The following is a 19,550-nucleotide window of genomic DNA, read 5'->3' on the forward strand; positions in this document are numbered from 1 at the left end:
AATAATTACTCAGTGTTAGCTATTTTTATTTGCTATATTATATTTTAGAGTTGAGTGTTCTTTTTAATTTGTAATTCAAATATACAGGTGACCAATTCTGAAACTTCTCCCAGTCCCCAGACCTGTATCTCCAACAGCTTGCTCAACATTTCTACATCAGTGTCCTACTGGTGCTTTAAAATATGGTATATGCTGAGCATTGATCTAAACAAAATCTGTCATGTCTTTAAAGTATCTTTATTCTTTTTTTTTTGAGACGGAGTCTCACTCTGTCGCCAGGCTGGAGTGCAGTGGTGTGATCTCGGCTCACTGCAACCAAGCTCCACCTCCTGGGTTCAAGAGATTCTTCTGCCTCAGCCTCCCAAATAGCTGGGACTACAGGCATGTGCCACCACGCCCAGCTGATTTTTGTATTTTTAGTAGAGATGGGGTTTCACCATGTTGGCCAGGATGGTCTTGATCTCTTGACCTTGTGATCTGCTGGCCTCGGCCTCCCAAAGTGCTGGGATTACAGGTGCGCCCAGCCCAAAAGTATCTTTATTCTTCCCTCACACTTGTTGCATAGTTTGAGTATAAAATTCTAGGTTGAAAATTATTTTTCCTCAGAATTTCAAAGGATTTTCTCCACTGCTTTTTAGCTTTCAATGTTGTGCAAGTCCAGAACCACTTACTTTCTGGTCTCTTGTATGTGACCTTTTGTTCCTCTCTCTGAAAGTTTGCAGGATGGCTTTGACCCACGCGTCCTGAGGTTTCATGATATGTCTTTATGGGTCTGTTTTTATTTACTGTGCTGGGTATCATTGGATCCTTTCAGTGTGAAAATGAAAATGTCTTTGAAATATTGAGTTAATGATTTCCTCTTCTCTTTTATCTGGACCTCTAAAGTGATCTTTAGTTTTCACAGTTTTTTTTCTTATTTTCCATCACCTCGTCTTTCTTGTCTTTTAACTTTGCTTACTTTCAGGGAGATTTCTTTATCTGATTTACAGCTGTTCTATTTGAGGTTTTCAATTTTCTTACATTTTAATTTTTAGGAGTCTTTTGTCTTCTGATTTTTAAAAACTGATACCTTGTTCTTCATGAATGCAATGGCATGGTATCTTTTCTCTCTCAAGATATTAATGGTGGTATGTTGTTTGTTTTTAAGTTTTCATCTCATTGCATAATCTCTACCAAATTCATTTAAATGTGACTGTTTGTCTTTTTCTTTCTTATCAGAGCCATTCCTTAAAATGTCTGGTGATTGATAACTGGTGTTGGTAATTTAGACTAGCTAATAAAAAGCGAATTGAAATGTCTGTACAAGTTGTTGGGACTAATCACCAGTGGTTTTTAACTGTAGGATGATCCCACTGGAGTGATATATTGCTCAACCTCTTAGGAATTCCATAATGCAAATCCAAACAAAGTGGTTTTTAACTTTCTGTATCCAAAACTTAAACTGTAGCAGATGATGCCAGTGCTCTCTCCATAGGCCTGTGTTTCCTTCCTGCTGTCAGACTCCTAGTGTCTGTTGATTCTCAACATCTAGCTCCTAAGGCTTGTTGCAAGGCCACCCTCACCATGCCAGAGCCTGTTTTGCCAATGTACATGCCGTGGAAGTGTCTGGAAAATTTGCTTCCTGAAGACAGCCCTTAACCAATGACTAATGATATGAGTAAACTCTGAGGTGTGACCTACGTTAACACCAGAACTACCCTGAGGGACTGAGCTAAAATTACCCTCTATGGGACCTTCCTTGGTGTCTTACCCTTGCTTAGCTTCCTTCCCTTCCTGTCCTGTTTCCCTACAAGGTTTTCCATAGAATACTTTCTAATAAATCACTTTGACACAAGCACCTCATCTTAGAGCTTACTGCCAAAAGACCCAACTTAACGATAACTACTACTAATTGCTCAGCATTCTCTTTAATTGGAGTGAAATCAGACTGAAGTTTTCTATGCTGTTCTTTGGGTTCTGTTTGTCAGATAATGTCATCAAACTTTTATATTAAAGAATAATTGGTTAATTTCTGCTCCTTAATTTTCTGGAATGATTTATGTAGTCCAAAAATTATTTTTTTAAAGATTGAGAGACTTCGTCCAGGAAAGTCTGGACCTTTTTGAAGTCTGGCTCTTTGACAACATTTTATTTTTTCTATGGTTGTCTATTAGGTTGTGTATCTTGAGTCAGATTTGATAATTAGCTTTCTTTTAAATAGAAATGTGTGTTTCATTGAGGTTTTTATGTTTAATAGCTATTATACAAAGTGTTATTTTTTCATTTTTTCTGTGAACATGAATACTATTTGAATTCTGATTTGAACAAACCAACTGCGAAAAGACATTTTTGTGCTAATTGAGACAGTTTGATTACAGAAGACAGTTGTGGAAATTTGATTACAGACTGTGGGTTAGATGATTCCAAATAATTATTGCTATTTTGTTAGGCATTTAGTAATGGCGTTATAGTTTTTAAGAAAATGTTGATATTTTCGGACAGGTATACAGAAGTATGTAGAAATGAGATGACTTTATGTCTAAGATTTGCATTAAAATACTATAATCATTTGAAGAAAGAATAAAGTAAATATGCCAAATTTTGTATTATAATTCAATCTGTATGACAGGTATGTGAGTTTTTTTTTGGTTTTATGCTTGTGTGAAGATTTTTGTAGTTAAGCTTTTTTTAAAAAAAAGTCAACTGAGTTACTTACGTGATGAAATTAGAACACATACTTCTTACAAGCACATTCTCTCCTATCCCCCTCTCCATTTCAGTTGGCACCATAATGCCATTTTTGCCTAACCATAACATAAATTAATATCATTTTATTTTATGGAGTTTTTCTTTCTGGGATAATAACATTTCTGCTTTGTTGCATAATTATCACAGACAGGTTTTTCTTTTTTTGGAGATGGAGTCTTGCTCTGTCACCCAGGCTGGAGTACAGTGGCGCGATCTTGGCTCACTGCAACCTCTGCCTCCCAGGTTCAAGCAATTCTCCTGCTTCAACCTCCCCAGTAGCTGGGATCACAGGCACCTGCCATCAAGCCCAGCTAATTTTTAAAAATATTTTTAGTAGAGATGGGGTTTCTCCATGTTGGCCAGTCTGGTTTGGAACTCCTGACCTCAAGAGATTCTCCCACCTCAGCCTCCGAAAGTGCTAGGATTACAGGTGTGAACCACAGTGCCTGGCCACACACAGGTTCTTTAGTTTTATATGGGAAGAGATTGCATGTCTTTTGCCAAGCCTTTCATTGTATGATTTCTCCATTTGTGAGTTTTATGGGTTTCGTTTTTGTTTTTGTTTGTTTTTTATTATTTTGGCATGTGTATCTTATATCCTGTGACCTTGCTGAATTTACTCTTTGTAGCATTTTTCTTTTCACAAAATCCTTGAGATTTCCTTCACAGTCACATTATCTACAAATCTGCAAATAGGGATGGTTTCATTTTTTCCATTACAATCTATATGCCTTTTCATTCTCTTTTTTATTTTTCTCCTTTATTATACTGGCTAGAATTTCCAGTACTATATTGAGTAAGAGTGATGAGAGTGGACATCCTTTCCTTGTTCATGATCTTAACGTGAAAACATTCAGTCTTTTACCATTAAGTGTACCATTAGCTGTTAGTTTTTGATACTTGTTCTTTATCAAGTTAAGGAAATTCCTTCTGTTTTTGTTTTTCTGAGAGTTATTTGTCCTGAATATTGGATTTTGTCAAGTATTTTTTCTGCATCTTTTCATTTGTGTGAATTTTCCTTTTTAGTTGGTTAATAGGATGAATCGTGTTGATTTTTAAATGTTGAACCATCCTTACATACTCAGAATAAACTCTACTTGGTCATAATTCTTTTTACATAATGCTGAATTCTATTTACTAATACTTTGTGAAATACTAATACTTCATTAAGTATTAGTACTTAACATGCTAATTCATACTTTTAAGTATTTTTGTTTCTGTATTTCTGAGAAGGGTAGTAGTCTGTAGTTTTTTTTGGTTTTTTTTTTGTACTGTCTTTGTTGGATTTTGGTATCAGGGTAATATGAACTTGATAAAATGAATTGGGAAGTGTTCTCTCCTACTTTTTGGAGGAGATTGTACAAATTGATGTTAAAACATTAAAAAATAATTTTTAGAACATCTGTTAGAATTCTCCAGTAAAACCATCTGGACCTGGAGATTTTTGTGGGGGTCAGGGGCGGGGGGTGAGGGGAGTTTTAAAATTGTGAGTTCAGTTTCTATAAATAATTATATGGCTGTTCAAATAATCTATTTCATATTGAGTGAATTGTGATGGTTTATGCTTTTCAAGGAATTGGTCCATTTCATCTAACTTGTCAAATTTATACGTGTAGAGTTGTTTGTAGTATTCCCTTATTATCCTTTGGTATCTGCAGGGTCAATAGAAATAACCCCTGTATTATTCCTGCTATTGGTAGTTTGTGTCTCAATCTTTAGAGGCTGTCCATTTTATTAATCTTATCAAAGAACCAGCTCTTTTTTTTACATTTTAGGTTCAGGGGTACATATACAGGTTTGTTACAGAGGTGAATTGTGTGTCATGGGGGTTTGGTGTATTTAAGCATAGTGTATTTAAGTGTATTAAGTGTATTTAAGTGTATTAAGCGTATTTAAGTGTATTAAGCATAGTGTATTTAACCAATAGATAGTTTTTCAGTCCTCACCCTCTTCCCTCCCTCCAGTCTTAGGTAGTTTCTGGTGTCTGTTATTCCCTTCTTTGTGTCCATATGTCCTCTGTGTTTAGTTACAAGTGAGAACTAATAAGGTTTTCTGTCCTGTGTTAGTTCACTTAAAATAATGCCTGTTTTAAATTTTATTAATTTCTGCTCTTTATTATTTTATTCCTTCTTGCTTTGGGTTTATTGTGCTCTTTTTGTTGAGTCTTGAGGTAGAAGCTTAAATAATCAATTTATTTCTCTCTTTTTTAATGTAAACAGTTAGTGCTATAAGTTTTCCTCTTAGCACTGCTTTTGCTGTGCCGCTCTATTGTTTCCAAACTGTTTCTTTGCTATTTTTACTTCCCTGTGTCATTAGCAAAACTAAACTCCAGGAAAGCAGGGAAAGGTACTTGCTTTTTGCTTTTCCCAGTATATAGCATAGTGCTGTGTATTTGAAAATAATTTTTGAGCTTTAAAACTTAGATCTCAGCTTGGCAGCTTACATCTGCTTATAACCAGGAACTGGAAGAAACACAATACAAATATTCCCTAAAATTAGAAGAAAACTATAGAGGGTTTATTGCAAGTAAAATTCTACTTAATAAATTTATTTTTGTTTGTTGAAAAGCATATGGAAAACACTGTATGGGTTAAGTCTTTAGCAGTGTGTTTTTTGTGTTTAAGAATTTATATAGAGAAACATTTGAGTTTTTTAATGGCAAAATTAAAGAGCAGAGGCATGAATATTTAGTCTGAAACCAGTTCCAATCTCTCAGCAAACATTAACATCCTCCCAGTCCATTCTTAGAGCCCGTGGACTTTTCAATATCTTATTTGCACCTCAAGATTTATAAATAGAGCAAAAGCGGTTTCTTGTTGGACCTACTGATGACATAACCTTTTAAGTATTCCATTTAAAGATAATTTTAGAGAGAAAGGGAAAGGATATGGAAAGTTAATAGACAGCTATAGGTGCGAGAGTGGTGTGTGGAAAAACTAGTGAACTTTAAATGAAATGGGGGTGAAAATTCCAATTTACCATGTTGGCTGGCTGGTTTGGGTCCATTTAATTAACCTGTCTCATACTCAGTTTCTTCATCTGTAATATGAAAGGGATACTGCTATCGAGTTTTCAGGTTGCTGTGAGCATCAGAAAAAAACATAAAAATTTCTAACATGGTACCTCACATGTACTATATTTGTAAATGTAAGGTGTGTGACTGTAAGATTTATATCACTTTCATAAGGAAAATCTTTTGGGAAAATATAAAGATGTATCAAAAATTATTTTAATATGGTTAGAAGAGGGAATATATTTTGAATACATAAATGCAGCAAATGAATGCCATAATCCAGAGCAAAATTAGAAGTACCTGATTGTCACCTTGGCAAAATGTGGTATAAAGTGTTAAAATTTAAAAAAAAAAATAACTAGAATTTCAGGGCTTTATTGTGAATTACACTCACTGACTTCCCGAAAGCCTGAAAGGAAGAAGACGTGCGCTCATGGTAAAGGGCATTAAAATCTTGGTGAAAGAATATTCTTGAACTGGTGGAGTGGCTGAAAACCAAGCATAAGAGAAGAGGTTAAAGGCTGTATCCTCAGAATTCTCTGGCACCCATGTAAGAAGACCATGGAGTAATATTTACAAAGTTCTTAGGGAGAAGAAAGTTTGTGCAATAGCAGACATTCTGAAGCCTGCAAGAATTTCAGATGTGGCACCGATTAGCGCCATTAAAAAAAACTGCTTGCTGAAACCCAGCTAACAAAAACATGATATTAATGAAAAACTCAAATTTAGAGGAGTTGTGATTAAAAAGGACTCTTGTTGAGCATGGAATCTAGTTTAATGTAGATCCAGGATTAAGCAGTCATGGAATTACAGTTCATAATTCATATAATGTAAACTATGTACATTTTTACCAAATAAAAGCAGTTAACAAAAATTGGTTGTGGCAGAGGGAGTGTGTGTGTATGTATATGTGTATATATATATTTGTACATGTGTGTATCCATGCTGATTTCCACATTTCACAGCAAGAAATCAATAGATAGTGCCTAAAATTGAGCTTATTTAATGAGCCCTCCAACTCCTTTCTGTTTTTTTGTAAACTTTTCTTAATTTTTAGAGGGATCCTTTAGAGGATGGGGGTCATATTACAGATGTCTAGGTGACATTCAGATTTTTTAGATTCCTTTATTTCCTATAAATTCAAATAAATCTAATATGTTAATTCTTTAAAAACGAGATGACTAATATAATTCCCATTCTGTAAAACTGTAGGGTTATGGTTTGAATATTTGTCCCCTCTAAAACTCATGTTGAAATTTAATTCCCAGTTTGGCAATATTAACAAGGCCTTTAAGGAAGTGATTGGTTTATGAGACAGACCTCTGCCCTCATGAATGGTTTAATCCATTAATGGGTTAATAACTTAATGGGTTATCATGGGAAGGGAACTGTTTTGGCTTTATAAAGAAAGGGAAGGCCGGGCGCGGTGGCTCACGCCTGTAATCCCAGCACTTTGGGAGGCCGAGGCGGGCGGATCACGAGGTCGGGAGATCGAGACCATCCCGGCTAAAACGGTGAAACCCCGTCTCTACTAAAAACACAAAAAATTAGCCGGGCGTAGTGGCGGGCGCCTGTAGTCCCAGCTACTTGGGAGGCTGAGGCAGGAGAATGGCGTGAACCCGGGAGGCGGAGCTTGCAGTGAGCCGAGATCCCGCCACTGCACTCCAGCCTGGGCAACAGAGCGAGACTCCGTCTCAAAAAAAAAAAAAAAAGGGAAGAGGAACAAACCTAAGCTAACACGTTAGCATGCGTATCCCTCATGCCATGTGATGCTCTGTGCCACCTCAAGACTCTTCAGAGGAGAGTCCTCAACAGCAAGAAGGCTCTTACCAGATGTGCCCCCTTTGGCCTTGGACTTTCTAGCCTCCGTAACTGTAAGAAATAAATGCTTTCTCTTTATAAATTACCCAGTTTCAGTTGTTCTGTTATAAATACCAGAAAATGGACTAAGACATAATAGCAAAGTGGTTAAGAGTCTGAATTCCTGATTCAGATTGCTAGTGTGACTCTCTGTGTCTGAATTCATCTGTAAATGGGAATACTAGTCCGTACTTTATAGTTTGCAGATGCTCTTAGTACAGGGTTCAAATGTTAACTGTAATTACCTCTCCTATTTTTGTTATTGCTAGAGAGAAACCTGTAATGATAATCACAAAATATTAATAATTGTTGTTTCTGGGTAGTAGGACTTGTGATGATTTCTTCCTTCTAAATCCTTTTTTAACAATGAATAGCATAAAGCTGTCCCTTTAAAAATAAAATTAAAATATAAATTTTAGTTGTCCCGGGAGTTCTTTTGTATCTGAAACCTCAGTTGTCAAGCTTGGAAATCTGTACTTTTAAAATATCCTCAAGCGATTCTGATTACACATCAGGTTTGGAAGCACTTGGCATAAAGAACTTCCCCCACCCAATTCAAAGAAATAGTATTTAAGCCCTCATAATGTGCAGTGTGGTTAAGCTGTGTCTTTTTCCAGTCTAGTCTACCTCAACACTCTTGTGGACATGATTTTTGCCAAAAATCTGAGTGAGCTTTGGGATGCATTCTACCCCCATGAGATGGCTATTTTATCCCAGGAGCAGGAAAAAAAAAAATGGGAGTTTACAGTTATTTAGTCATAAGGCCGGAGTCCTTTAAATTGGAAGGGAATGTGGTAAACACAACACAAGAGGAGCCAACACATTCTGAGTGTGCTGATACTCTGGGGGAGAAGAGTAAGAGAGTATGACAGGCATCAGACAGCATCACAAAACATTTTAAAGTTAAAAACAATTACGTAACACCAAGAAGTCAGTTTTCCTTACATTCACTCCAGGATAGATGCCTTGCTTAAAAAGTGCCTCTTCAGCTAAGAAAAACTGTGTCCATAAGTACTTCAGTAGCTTTCCACAAACAGTAACTGTTTTTGTGTTATAGAAGTAGGCTTGTTCTGAAGCTCAGCATGTCCTTGGAATATGATTGAGTAGCATGTTAGTATTCATAGTTGATGGAGCTGGGTTAGCACTTCTTTAACTTCAGATATCCATATGATGATAGAAATAGGAATTTTCTCTGGTCCTGCAGTCCTTCCTCTTCTCAGTCACAGTGCTTTCTGCCTAAGTGGTACTGAATGGCATTGTGACTACTGCTTTCTTCTCCAGTGCCAGGAGCGGTAGACTCTGCAGCAGTAAAATACTGTCTTTGTTCTTTTCTGAGATGGTGAAGTGGCTGTGTATGGTATTAAGGCAAAATCACAGCTAGGACAAAAAGCAATGGAAAACCAAGATCAGTGTGCTGTAAGGCAAAGTGTTAGTGAGAGAATCAGAGGATGTAGAGAGTGACAACTCAGTATCTGCTAATGCTCCAGGTTCACTGCTTCAATCGTATTCTGCTTGTCTTCCTCCATAAGAAATTAAGAGTTAAAACATCTTTCATTTACTTCTCTTGGCTTCATGTTTTCAATTCATGGTACTTTCATATCACATACCTCTATTGTAGATTGTCTTGATCATGTATACTGCTAAAGGAAGGACTTGTATAATATCGAACAGATACTTGACTAATCAGTTCTCTCTGGCTGTTTGAATGAAATTTCAAACCAAGATTTCTGGTTAGAGCAAGGTCTAATGAACTGGTCCTCAGACAATCGAGATATTTAGAATTTCAGAACAATCACTTAAGACAGGAGGGATATGTTTTATTGTATCTTTTGGATATAAAGATTACACTAACGGCCAACCTGAATGAGGGAAAGGGGGCAGTAGGGAGGCAGAATTTGAGACCCCCTCATCAGAGAAAACAGCAGAAAGACATGGTAAACTTGTTTCTGGTTTTCCTGTGGCAAATTTGATTGGGTGTAGAGAGAAGGATCGTTGAGTGGGGCTATGTACTCATCATCCATGAAGGCCTACCTTTCTGAACTTGAAGGTACAGTCAGGATAGAGCAAAAGGTGTAAACATGTATCTGATAGTTTCAGATGGTTAATTTACATCTCAAGATACTGGGCAGCTTTGCTTATACTGTGCTGTTCCTTCACCTCTCCTCTTCCTCTTAGGGTTTTTCTTCCCAAACTGGAATTACAATTCAGGAGAGAGCCTGAAATATAAGATATATAATGCAGCATAAGCATGGTGTGTTGTCATGGCATGTCAATTTTACTTGTAGATTTTGGGATATTTTTATATCAAATATGAATATATTAAGTATGTACTTAATGGGATAAAGACACATGAATGGGTTTTTGTATACACTTTTTACTGAAATAAATGTTAATACAGAAAAGTATGTAAAATCATAAATGTAGAGCTTAATGAATGTCACAGAGAACAAGCCATGTAACTACTAGTTTTTTTTGTGGTATCAATAAGCTTTCCTTTAATTACTGTTTGTATGGTATATTTTTCTATTATTTTGCTTTCAACTTTATAAATCTATTTAATATGTGTCTCTTGTAAGCTGCATGTAGATGAGTTTATTTTTCTCGAGTCTGGCTGGCAATCTTTATTTTTTAATTGTAGTTTTTAGTCTATTTGCTTTTAATATAATCATTGATATGTTTGGTTCTAAATCAACCACCTTACTATTTATTTTCTATTTGTCTCATCTATTCTATATTCCCTTTTTTTTTTTTTTTTTAACATTGCCTTGATTTGGGGTATTTTCCCATTTCATTTTTTTGTATTTGAATTTAATTATATTGTTTTACTGTTTGTTTGTTTAAAGATTATATTAGACATCCTTGGTCTTTTAAAGGCTATTATTAATCAGTTTTTTTTTTTTAAACAACTCCTGGACAGTGAAATGACTTTAGAGCTCTTAAACTCTATGGATCCTCCTTATACTTTTTGATGCCAGTTTTGTAATTTGTTTTAATGGTAATAATACTAATATCTTGTGAGACTTTCAAAAAATGTTTTATTATAGCCAATATTTATTTGGATTTACTTACATACATACCCTTTTTATGACTCTCCCTTCCTTCCTACATCTCTGAATTTTTATCTGAAATTCTTTTCCTTCTGCCTGAAGAATTAGAAATAGAACTGTTAGTGATAAATTCACTTAGGTTTTGTTTTTCTGAACATGTTTTTAAGGCTCATTCTTGAAGGACATTTTTGCTGGATACAGAATGCTAGGTTGGTAGTTCTGTTCTTTTAGCACTTTAAAAATAGTTCACTGCAGTCTTGATTCTGTTGTTGCTGCTAAAAAGTCAGCTGTCAATCTTATTACACCTTTGAAGTTTTTTTTTCTGTCCTTGGTTTTCAGTAGTTTGACTGATGTACTTAGGTAACATTTTCTTTTTCTTTGTAATCTTCATTGGGTTTTGTAGATTTTTAATGTGAGGGTTGGTACTGTGTCAGTTTCGGAAAATATTCAGTCATTATTTCTTTAAATACCACTTCTCCTGAGTTATGTCTCTTCCCTCAAAGGTTCCAGTTAACACTTACATTAGACCCTTTCACTTTATTCTGTTTTTTTGCTCAATTCTTTTTCAATCCATTTGTTTTTCCATACTTCATTCTGCGTATTTTCTTCTGACCTAGCTTTTTAGGTTATTAATTTTTTTCTTCAGCTGTGACTATTCTATGCCTAATTTCTTAATCTTGCCATTTAATTTCTTGACTTTATTAAGAATAGTTATTTCTAAGCTAAAAATATGAAAATCTTATTTGAGTCTTTTGGCTCTGTTTCTATTGTCTACTTTTTTGTGTTTAGCCGTAATTTTCATCTTGATGCCTGGTTGTTTTGGACATTGTGTATCAAAATTTTGTCCATGTTGTATACCAAAAAAAAAAAAGTCGTCATGATAATTTGAGGTTCTTCATGATTTTATATTTCTCCAGGAGAATATTTTTACAGTTAGGCTAGGGCGGATCATCCAGTCAGTGGCTGAGATGACTCTAACGTAGACTTCAGCCGTTGTAAAGATTGGTCTATTTTTGTTTTGTTCTTATTCTCAGATTGTAGCCTTTCAGAGTCCTTGATAAGAGCATAGGTGTTTTTCAGGACCTCTTCTCCTAAGCAGACTTTGGACATTAATTTTTGCTTAGCTTTATTGCCCTTGCTGTTTTCTCTTTCAGAATCAGTCATTGTCTTGAGGATAGAGCAGTGCCAGATGTCTGGTCTGCCTCTTTCCTTCCTTCTTCCAGATTTTGGCCCTACTAATTCTCACTGCCTTGATATCTTACCAGTGTCTTCAAACACATATTTATATTTTTTTACATTTTGTTCAGTTTTTCTGATTGCACTTGGTTGTACTAAAAGAACCTAGTCAGCCATTCCAGAAATACATGAAGTTGTTTTGTTTTTATTATTGTAGTGGTGATTGTTGGTTTGTACTTTTGCTTTCACAAACTATTTCAAAGCAATTTTGATTTTTAGGGTTATATTTCCCAGACCTCTACTTTCACTGCCCATTGCCCTCTGCTGTTAGTGGTGATTAGGTGAAGAGTTTGAGAAATGTAATGGAAAGGGCGTGGGTTTTTTTTTTTTGTTTTTTTTTTTTTGAGACAGAGTCTTGCTCTGTCACCCAGGCTGTAATACAGTGGCATGATCTCGGTCCTGCAGTCCTGCCTCCCAGGTTCTAGTGATTCTTTTGCCTCAGTCTCCCAGGTAGCTGGGATTACAGGCACGTACCACAACGCCTGGCTAATTTTTGTATTTTTAGTAGAGATGGGGTTTCACCATGTTGGCCAGGCTGGTCTTGAACTCCTGACCTCAGGTGATCCACCCGCCTTGGCCTCCCAAAGTGCTAGGATTACAGGCGTGAGCCACCACGCCCAGCCGGGCATGGGCTTTTTAAGCACACAGACCTACATTCAAACTGTGGCTCCTTCTGATTGTGTCAGCCTATATGAATTAATTACCTGTTTAAAATTACCTTTTTAAAATTTCTCTTTCCTCATCTGCAGACGGGTTTAGTGAGAATGAAAAAGGACATTGAAATTAAATTTTATTTAAAATGAAATAATGTATGGACAGCTTCTGGTATATAATAAATGCTTAGTAAACTTATTTTTTTAATTATCTTGAGGAATAGGAAACTAGAGTTAAGACCAATCTTTTAAGGAATTTAATAGAAGTTTATAACTTCACCATATAGTAATTGTTAACAAAAGCTTAAAAAGGGCGTTTATGTCAATGTTTGGTTGTGGGGCAGTTCAACAGGCATCTGTGTCCCAGGTACCCTACTTAATCTCGTTAATATTATAGATTCCATCCAAAATCTAGATCTTGCAGTATAGAGCAGAGGTCAGCAAACTTTTTCTTTTTTTTTTCTGAGATAGTTTCACTCTTTTGCCCAGGCTGGAGTTGAGTGGTGCAGTCTTGGCACACTGCAACCTCCGCCTTCTGAGTTCAAGTGATTCTCCCACCTTATTCTTACCAATTCTTCCCAAGTATTCACCTTATTCTTCCCAAGTAGCTGTGACTGCAGGCATATGCCACCATGCCCAGCTAATTTTTTACCATGTTGTCCAGGCTGGTCTCAAGCTCCTGACTTCAAGTGATCCACCCGCCTTGGCCTCCCAGAGTGCTGGGATTACAGGCATGAGCCACTGTGCCTAGCCAGCAAACTTTTTCTATAAAGGGCTAGGTACGGTTTTGTGAGACATATTGCCTCTATTGTAGCTATTCACTCTGCTGTTTTAGGGCAAAAGTAGCCGCAGTCAGTATATAAATGAATGGGCATGGGTGTGTTCAAATAAAACTCTATTTACAAAAACAGGTAGCAGGCCAGGTTTGGTCCATGGGTCCTCAAACTGTGCTGACCCTAGTCCTCCACAAGCTACAAGTGTTTTTTTACGTTTATAAAGGATTGTTTAAGAAGAAGATGCAACAGAAACCACATGAGACCCAAAAAGCCAAAAATATTTTATTTCTAGTTCTTTACAGAAAGGGTTTGCTAACTTTTGGGTTGGAGAAGGGGTGGTGGTTGCTACCAGAGAAAAAGAAGTAGACTTCCGTACTCAGAGTTAACAGCAAAGAAAGAAAAACAACACGACAGGAAGCCCTGGATCCACAAAGGATCCTGGTGGGAAGAATAGGAAATTCTGTGTGCAATACTGACATACTCATCCATACCCCACCCCAACTGTGACTGTCCTACTAATTAATCTGGTTTTATGGATTTTCCATAATGTGCTGTTTTAGCAGCAAATAGAGGGGTAAACTCATAGATAATAGCTAAATACTGTTAGAAATTAACTTTCCGTTATAGCTAAATGTTACCAGAATTTTTACTCCGGTTATGTATACAGCTTTGATTTTATAACATCCTGCTAATTTTTGTTCTTACAGAAATACACTTTCGGGAAATGGCCTCTAAATCCTGGCTGAATTTTTTAACCTTCCTCTGTGGATCAGCAATAGGATTTCTTTTATGTTCTCAGCTATTTAGTATTTTGTTGGGAGAAAAGGTTGACACCCAGCCTAATGTTCTTCATAATGATCCTCATGCAAGGCATTCAGATGATAATGGACAGAATCATCTAGAAGGACAAATGAACTTCAATGCAGATTCTAGCCAACATAAAGGTATGGTTTACTTTATTAAGCAGTAAACATAAGCAGTATTTTAGTCTAAATTTTGTCATATTCCTGTCTGTATCTGTTAATTAAAATGGGCTATATATTCCAGATATTAAAAATAATTCTTGGTTTGCCTCAAGAGAAGGGAATTGCTAAAACTCAGATTTATTTAGGGAATAAGATATTAATTTTGAATTCGTTTTTAAGTAGAAATAGTTCAGAACCCATGATTTGGGGAAGGGCATAACTATTCAGATTTGATTTGTTTCTGAAAATGTTTTTCTAGGTTCAGTTTTGTTATATGTGTGTCTTTGGTTTTTGTTACTTGTTTTGGTCATAGCTTTTGCTTAAGTCTTGTTTTCCTAGAGAAACTTGAGGTGTATGTAAGTTTCGATTTATATTTTTATAATTAGTTAATAGAACTAATCTTTTTTTTCCTCAAGAGGCACAAAGAACAAGGAAGTTAAAAACCAAGGATGCGTTCTAAAGACTTCATTTTCTCCTAGCCTCCTACCTCTAACCAGATTTTCTCAGTTGAGTTATTTATGTGTCCCTTAAGTGTTGGTTCTCTCCAAGTTTCTGTCCTTTAGCTGTTTGTCTGTGTGACATCATTAACCCGCATAATTTTAATTTCCTTCTATTTCTTACTGTCTTTAGCCCAGTTCCAGACATTGTGAGGTGACATTAACACAATGCAAAATACGGTTTGACAGAAAATAATATAAGTAGCTTGAAAACAATTGGAATTCTGGGATGCAGAGGGTCCACTATTCAGTTTTTTCTCTTCTCTTCTCAGTAGTAAATTATTTCTTCACCACCTCTCAAGCAGAGGTTGAATGGTGAGATTTCAAAGCCTGGTTCCATTTTATCAACTAGCAAACATAAACATACTATTACAAAGTATGTCGTGTTTTGTGATTGTTTATGTAACAGTAATTCAGCTCTGAGCAAGTGCTCTGTGTTCCTACAGAACAGTTTGGTCACTGTGTATTTGCTCTGTAGCATAGCCACATGTCTTTAGGTGATCAATTGGAGGCAGAGTTCCCTACTAATAGTAAGCCGTACGAGGCCTCACTGCAGGCATGTGTATTAGATACATACTTGTCCAGCTCAGTGGCCTACAAAATGTGGGGTATGCTAAAAGTTTGTCTACTCCCTTCAGACTCAGCATGTGTAAATTGAGTCTCCTTTTCCTTCCTACTCCTAGAAGTTGCTCTTCCTCCTCTATTCTTTCTTTTATATGGCTCATTACCATCTGTCTGTGCCAGAAATTAAGAAATCATGGTAGGTGCTTGCCTTCACATGCTAGCCAATTCGATTTGTCAGTACATTCTAACAGTGCTGCTACTTTACCATTTTTCATCTCTTTTCCTCTCAGTCCTCAGTGCATTTCCGATTCAGGCCTTCAGCTATACCCATGTACCTGCACTCAACCAAACTTCACCATTCCTTTTGGTGAACTTATAACCTATTTTCTGTATTATGTCTTTATTTTTTAATCTTCCTCTTTGTTCTACCTAGGTCCCTATCTACTGCTCTGTAGGATTTATTAGCCACTATTTTCCTTCAGCACATTGAATCCTTTGTTCATACCTCTATAATAACATCTCTTAGTATTTAGCAATTATTGGTTTGTGTGTCAGGCTCAGGCTCCCTGAATGGACTGAATTCCTCTGCAGCAGGAAATGTGTCTTACTCATTTTTTTCATCTCCTATGCCAGCCCATGCCCAGTACAAAGCAATTAGTGAATGAAAAATTATTTATCAAGTTCAGCGGTGGACAAACCTGTCTTACCTGAATGAAACAGATTGGGGATTCCTGCATTCACTGTTCTATCCATTCAAGGTTTGGTATATTTGTATAGCCAAGAGATTGGGCTCCTCAAGGATATGAGATGTCTATGCTTTCTGACTGAAAGTAGGGTGATTTTGTCTGCTGTTGTCCTTTTGGATTGTGAATCTTGATACTCAGAGGGACATGAGAATTTTTATTTTTTATTTTTTTTGAGATGGAGTCTCGCTCTGTCACCCAGGCTGGACTGCAGTGGTGGGATCTCGGCTCACTGCAACCTCCGCCTCCCGGGTTCAAGCAATTCTCCTGCCTTAGCCTCCCGAGTAGCTGGGATTACAGGCGCCCACCACTACGCTTGGCTAATTTTTTGTATCTTTTTTAGTAGAGACAGGGTTTCACCATGTTGGCCAGGCTGGTCTCGAACTCCTGACCTCGTGATCTACCCGCCTCAGCCTCCCAAAGTGCTGGGATTACAGGCCTGAGCCACTGTGCCCAGCTGGGACATGAGAATATTTTTATGTTCCACCCAGCTTTTCCCATTATTCCCTCTCAGTTGGTTAACTAGTATATTATATGCCTCCATTGTTAATTTCTCATAGGACTAAGCTTCTGTAACTTGCTGTTTGACCTTAATTTTAAGCATATGCTTCGTCAGGATACTGCCCAGAACATTGCTACTGAAAGTCAGTTCATAGACTCATTCTGGTCCTATAACTAAAGAATGTCTGCTTATTTGGGAGTAAGCAGAAACTTTTATTGTAATTGGAGTAATTTTGTCTGAAGCTAAAAATAAAAATTTAGGACTTGTTTTATATTTTAGTTTTATTTTTCTTATAATTCATTTTTATCCTATTTACACAGTGTAGACCTCTTTTAGAAATAAAAATTGGCCTTTCACCACAGATAGCTTGGGAAGTACTCATCTAGAATCTCATCATTGAGCTCTTCCTCTGTACCGGTGCTACTCAAAATGCGGTCCTGGCCTGACACTTTGTCAGCTGTTTGTCTGCACAAGATAATGAGGTTACACTAGGATGTAAATCAGTTTTACGCTCACTGCTTACTTAAATGGACAGTTTTAAGTTTCAGTTTTAAGCTCACTGCTTAGTTAAGTGGACATTTTGATTGGTTGGTTCTGATAGTAGGCCTTTTTCAAAGTAATGTGTTGCTTTCTGTTCTGGTATAAGCTCCTTATTTCTTTGCAAACCTGTAGTTTAAAGAGCACTGCTCTAGACCATCTTGGAATTCCCATGTCTACCATTGTTCTCTTCTGTTTTTGATTGGTGGATTTACATTTTGGAATGAGGTATGTGACTATCAGAAAGTAATCTCAACTCCTGTGCTTTGACCTTTTACCACCTCAGGGTACTTGTAGAAATTCTTAATAGTGGATTATTGTGAACTTCAAAAATGAACTGCCACTTCAGCAGCATGTCTTTCCTGCTCTTCAGAAACTCGTTCAGAGCAGTGAGAAATTTCTGTCAGTAATCTATTAAAAACTGGCTGCTTTCTTTTATGAAGTGCCAAGCAGAGACTATTTAAGGCAGCATTTAGCATGCCTATGAAGCACCAGGAGAACTTATTAAAATGCTGATTCTGAGTCAGTAGGTCTGGGCCTAAGATTATGCATTTCTAACAGGCTCCCAGGTGATGCTGCTGCTTTTAATCAGTAAACTACAGTTTGAGACGAATTTAGATTATAATGTCAACTCTTACTAGCTCCAGTGATGTCCTAGATAACACTGACATGAAACCAATAAATCAGAGTGTCAGTTCACATTAGGATGAGTTTGCTTTCCTTTGGCTAAATCACTAATAGAGGGATAAATAGGGACTTTGAAATTAGGACAGTGCTTTCTTCAGTATAATTTATTAATATTTGGATTTTACATCTATGTAAATAACCTTTTAAAATGTTTTGTTTAATAGATGAGAACACAGACATTGCTGAAAACCTCTATCAGAAAGTTAGAATTCTTTGCTGGGTTATGACCGGCCCTCAAAACCTAGAGAAAAAGGCCAAACACGTCAAAGCTACTTGGGCCCAGCGTTGTAACAAAGTGTTGTTTATGAGTTCAGAAGAAAATAAAGACTTCCCTGCTGTGGGACTGAAAACCAAAGAAGGCAGAGATCAACTATACTGGAAAACAATTAAAGCTTTTCAGTATGTTCATGAACATTATTTAGAAGATGCTGATTGGTTTTTGAAAGCAGATGATGACACGTATGTCATACTAGACAATTTGAGGTGGCTTCTTTCAAAATACGACCCTGAAGAACCCATTTACTTTGGGAGAAGATTTAAGCCTTATGTAAAGCAGGGCTACATGAGTGGAGGAGCAGGATATGTACTAAGCAAAGAAGCCTTGAAAAGATTTGTTGATGCATTTAAAACAGACAAGTGTACACATAGTTCCTCCATTGAAGACTTAGCACTGGGGAGATGCATGGAAATTATGAATGTAGAAGCAGGAGATTCCAGAGATACCATTGGAAAAGAAACTTTTCATCCCTTTGTGCCAGAACACCATTTAATTAAAGGTTATCTACCTAGAACGTTTTGGTACTGGAATTACAACTATTATCCTCCTGTAGAGGTAAGTTTAGAAATTTTATTACTATGTCAATACTTGGACTGACTGAATTTTGTTGATAAAAACATGTTAATATGTGTATGTTTCTTTAGTACCAACAACAAGGACTCTTCCTTAGTCTTTTTAAATAGAGTGGCAGTATAACAAAATAGATGAGAACAGGGACATCAGCAATCAGCAGTAGTCACTTAGCAAATAGCTATTGATGCTGTTATATGCCAGGCACTGAGAATGTAGAAGTAAATCACAGCCAATTTCCAGTTCTCGTGAACCTTACATTCTGGATGAGGAGATATACAGTAAACAGGCAGACTTGTAAATATAAAATAGGATTTTAGTAGTAAGTGCCCTGAAGAAAAATAAGCCAAGTAAGGGGATGGAGAGTGACCCAGAGTGGGATGGAGTCCTCTGGTTTGGGTGATTAAGAAGGCCTCTCAAAGAGGTGACTTTTGAGCAGAACCCTGAGTGTTATTAGAGAGCAAGTTGGGTGAAGATCTGGGTAAAGAGCCTTCTAGTCATCAGGAGGATTTAATGGAGGTTCAGAAAGACCTAGAGTCAAATCCTGCTCTCTCACTTAATAGCCGAACAACCTTGGATGGACAGGAGCCTTGGATGACATCTGAGCTTCAGTTTCCTCATTTGTAAGATGGACATAATGTACCTGTCTTATTTAGTTGTTGTAATTACAACATAGTACAGCCCTTCACACAGTAAGCATTTAATAAGCCTTGGCTCACATTCCTGAGAATTTTATCTAAAGTGCATTATTTTAGGAAGTATTCCAGTAGTACAAATATTTCAGAATATACATTGTACTTATCCCCTGTCTTTACCAAATATTAATCTTTTTGCCACATTTGTTTCAGTTATTTAAAGAAGAAAATGCTATAGTATTGTTTTTCAGATTTTTAAAT

At 36.6% G+C, this 19,550-nt stretch overlaps 1 protein-coding gene across 16 annotated transcripts in view; it reads left to right on the forward strand.

Moving 5' to 3' along the window:
- The window catches only part of C1GALT1 (core 1 synthase, glycoprotein-N-acetylgalactosamine 3-beta-galactosyltransferase 1), a 91,240-nt gene that overhangs the window by 62,907 nt on the left and 8,783 nt on the right, over positions 1 to 19,550 (forward strand). For 14 of the 16 annotated variants that reach the window (XM_047420620.1, XM_047420623.1, XM_047420617.1 and 11 more), the window contains 2 exons: positions 14,020 to 14,256; positions 17,972 to 18,639. In XM_047420620.1, the coding sequence (XP_047276576.1) occupies positions 14,037 to 14,256; positions 17,972 to 18,639 (888 nt within the window). In that variant the 5' untranslated portion in view covers positions 14,020 to 14,036. The other 2 variants (XM_047420624.1, XM_017012449.3) reach the window with 2 other exon arrangements.

This window comes from Homo sapiens, chromosome 7, assembly GCF_000001405.40.
Source record: "Homo sapiens chromosome 7, GRCh38.p14 Primary Assembly".
In the NCBI taxonomy this organism is placed as follows: Eukaryota; Metazoa; Chordata; class Mammalia; order Primates; family Hominidae; genus Homo; species Homo sapiens.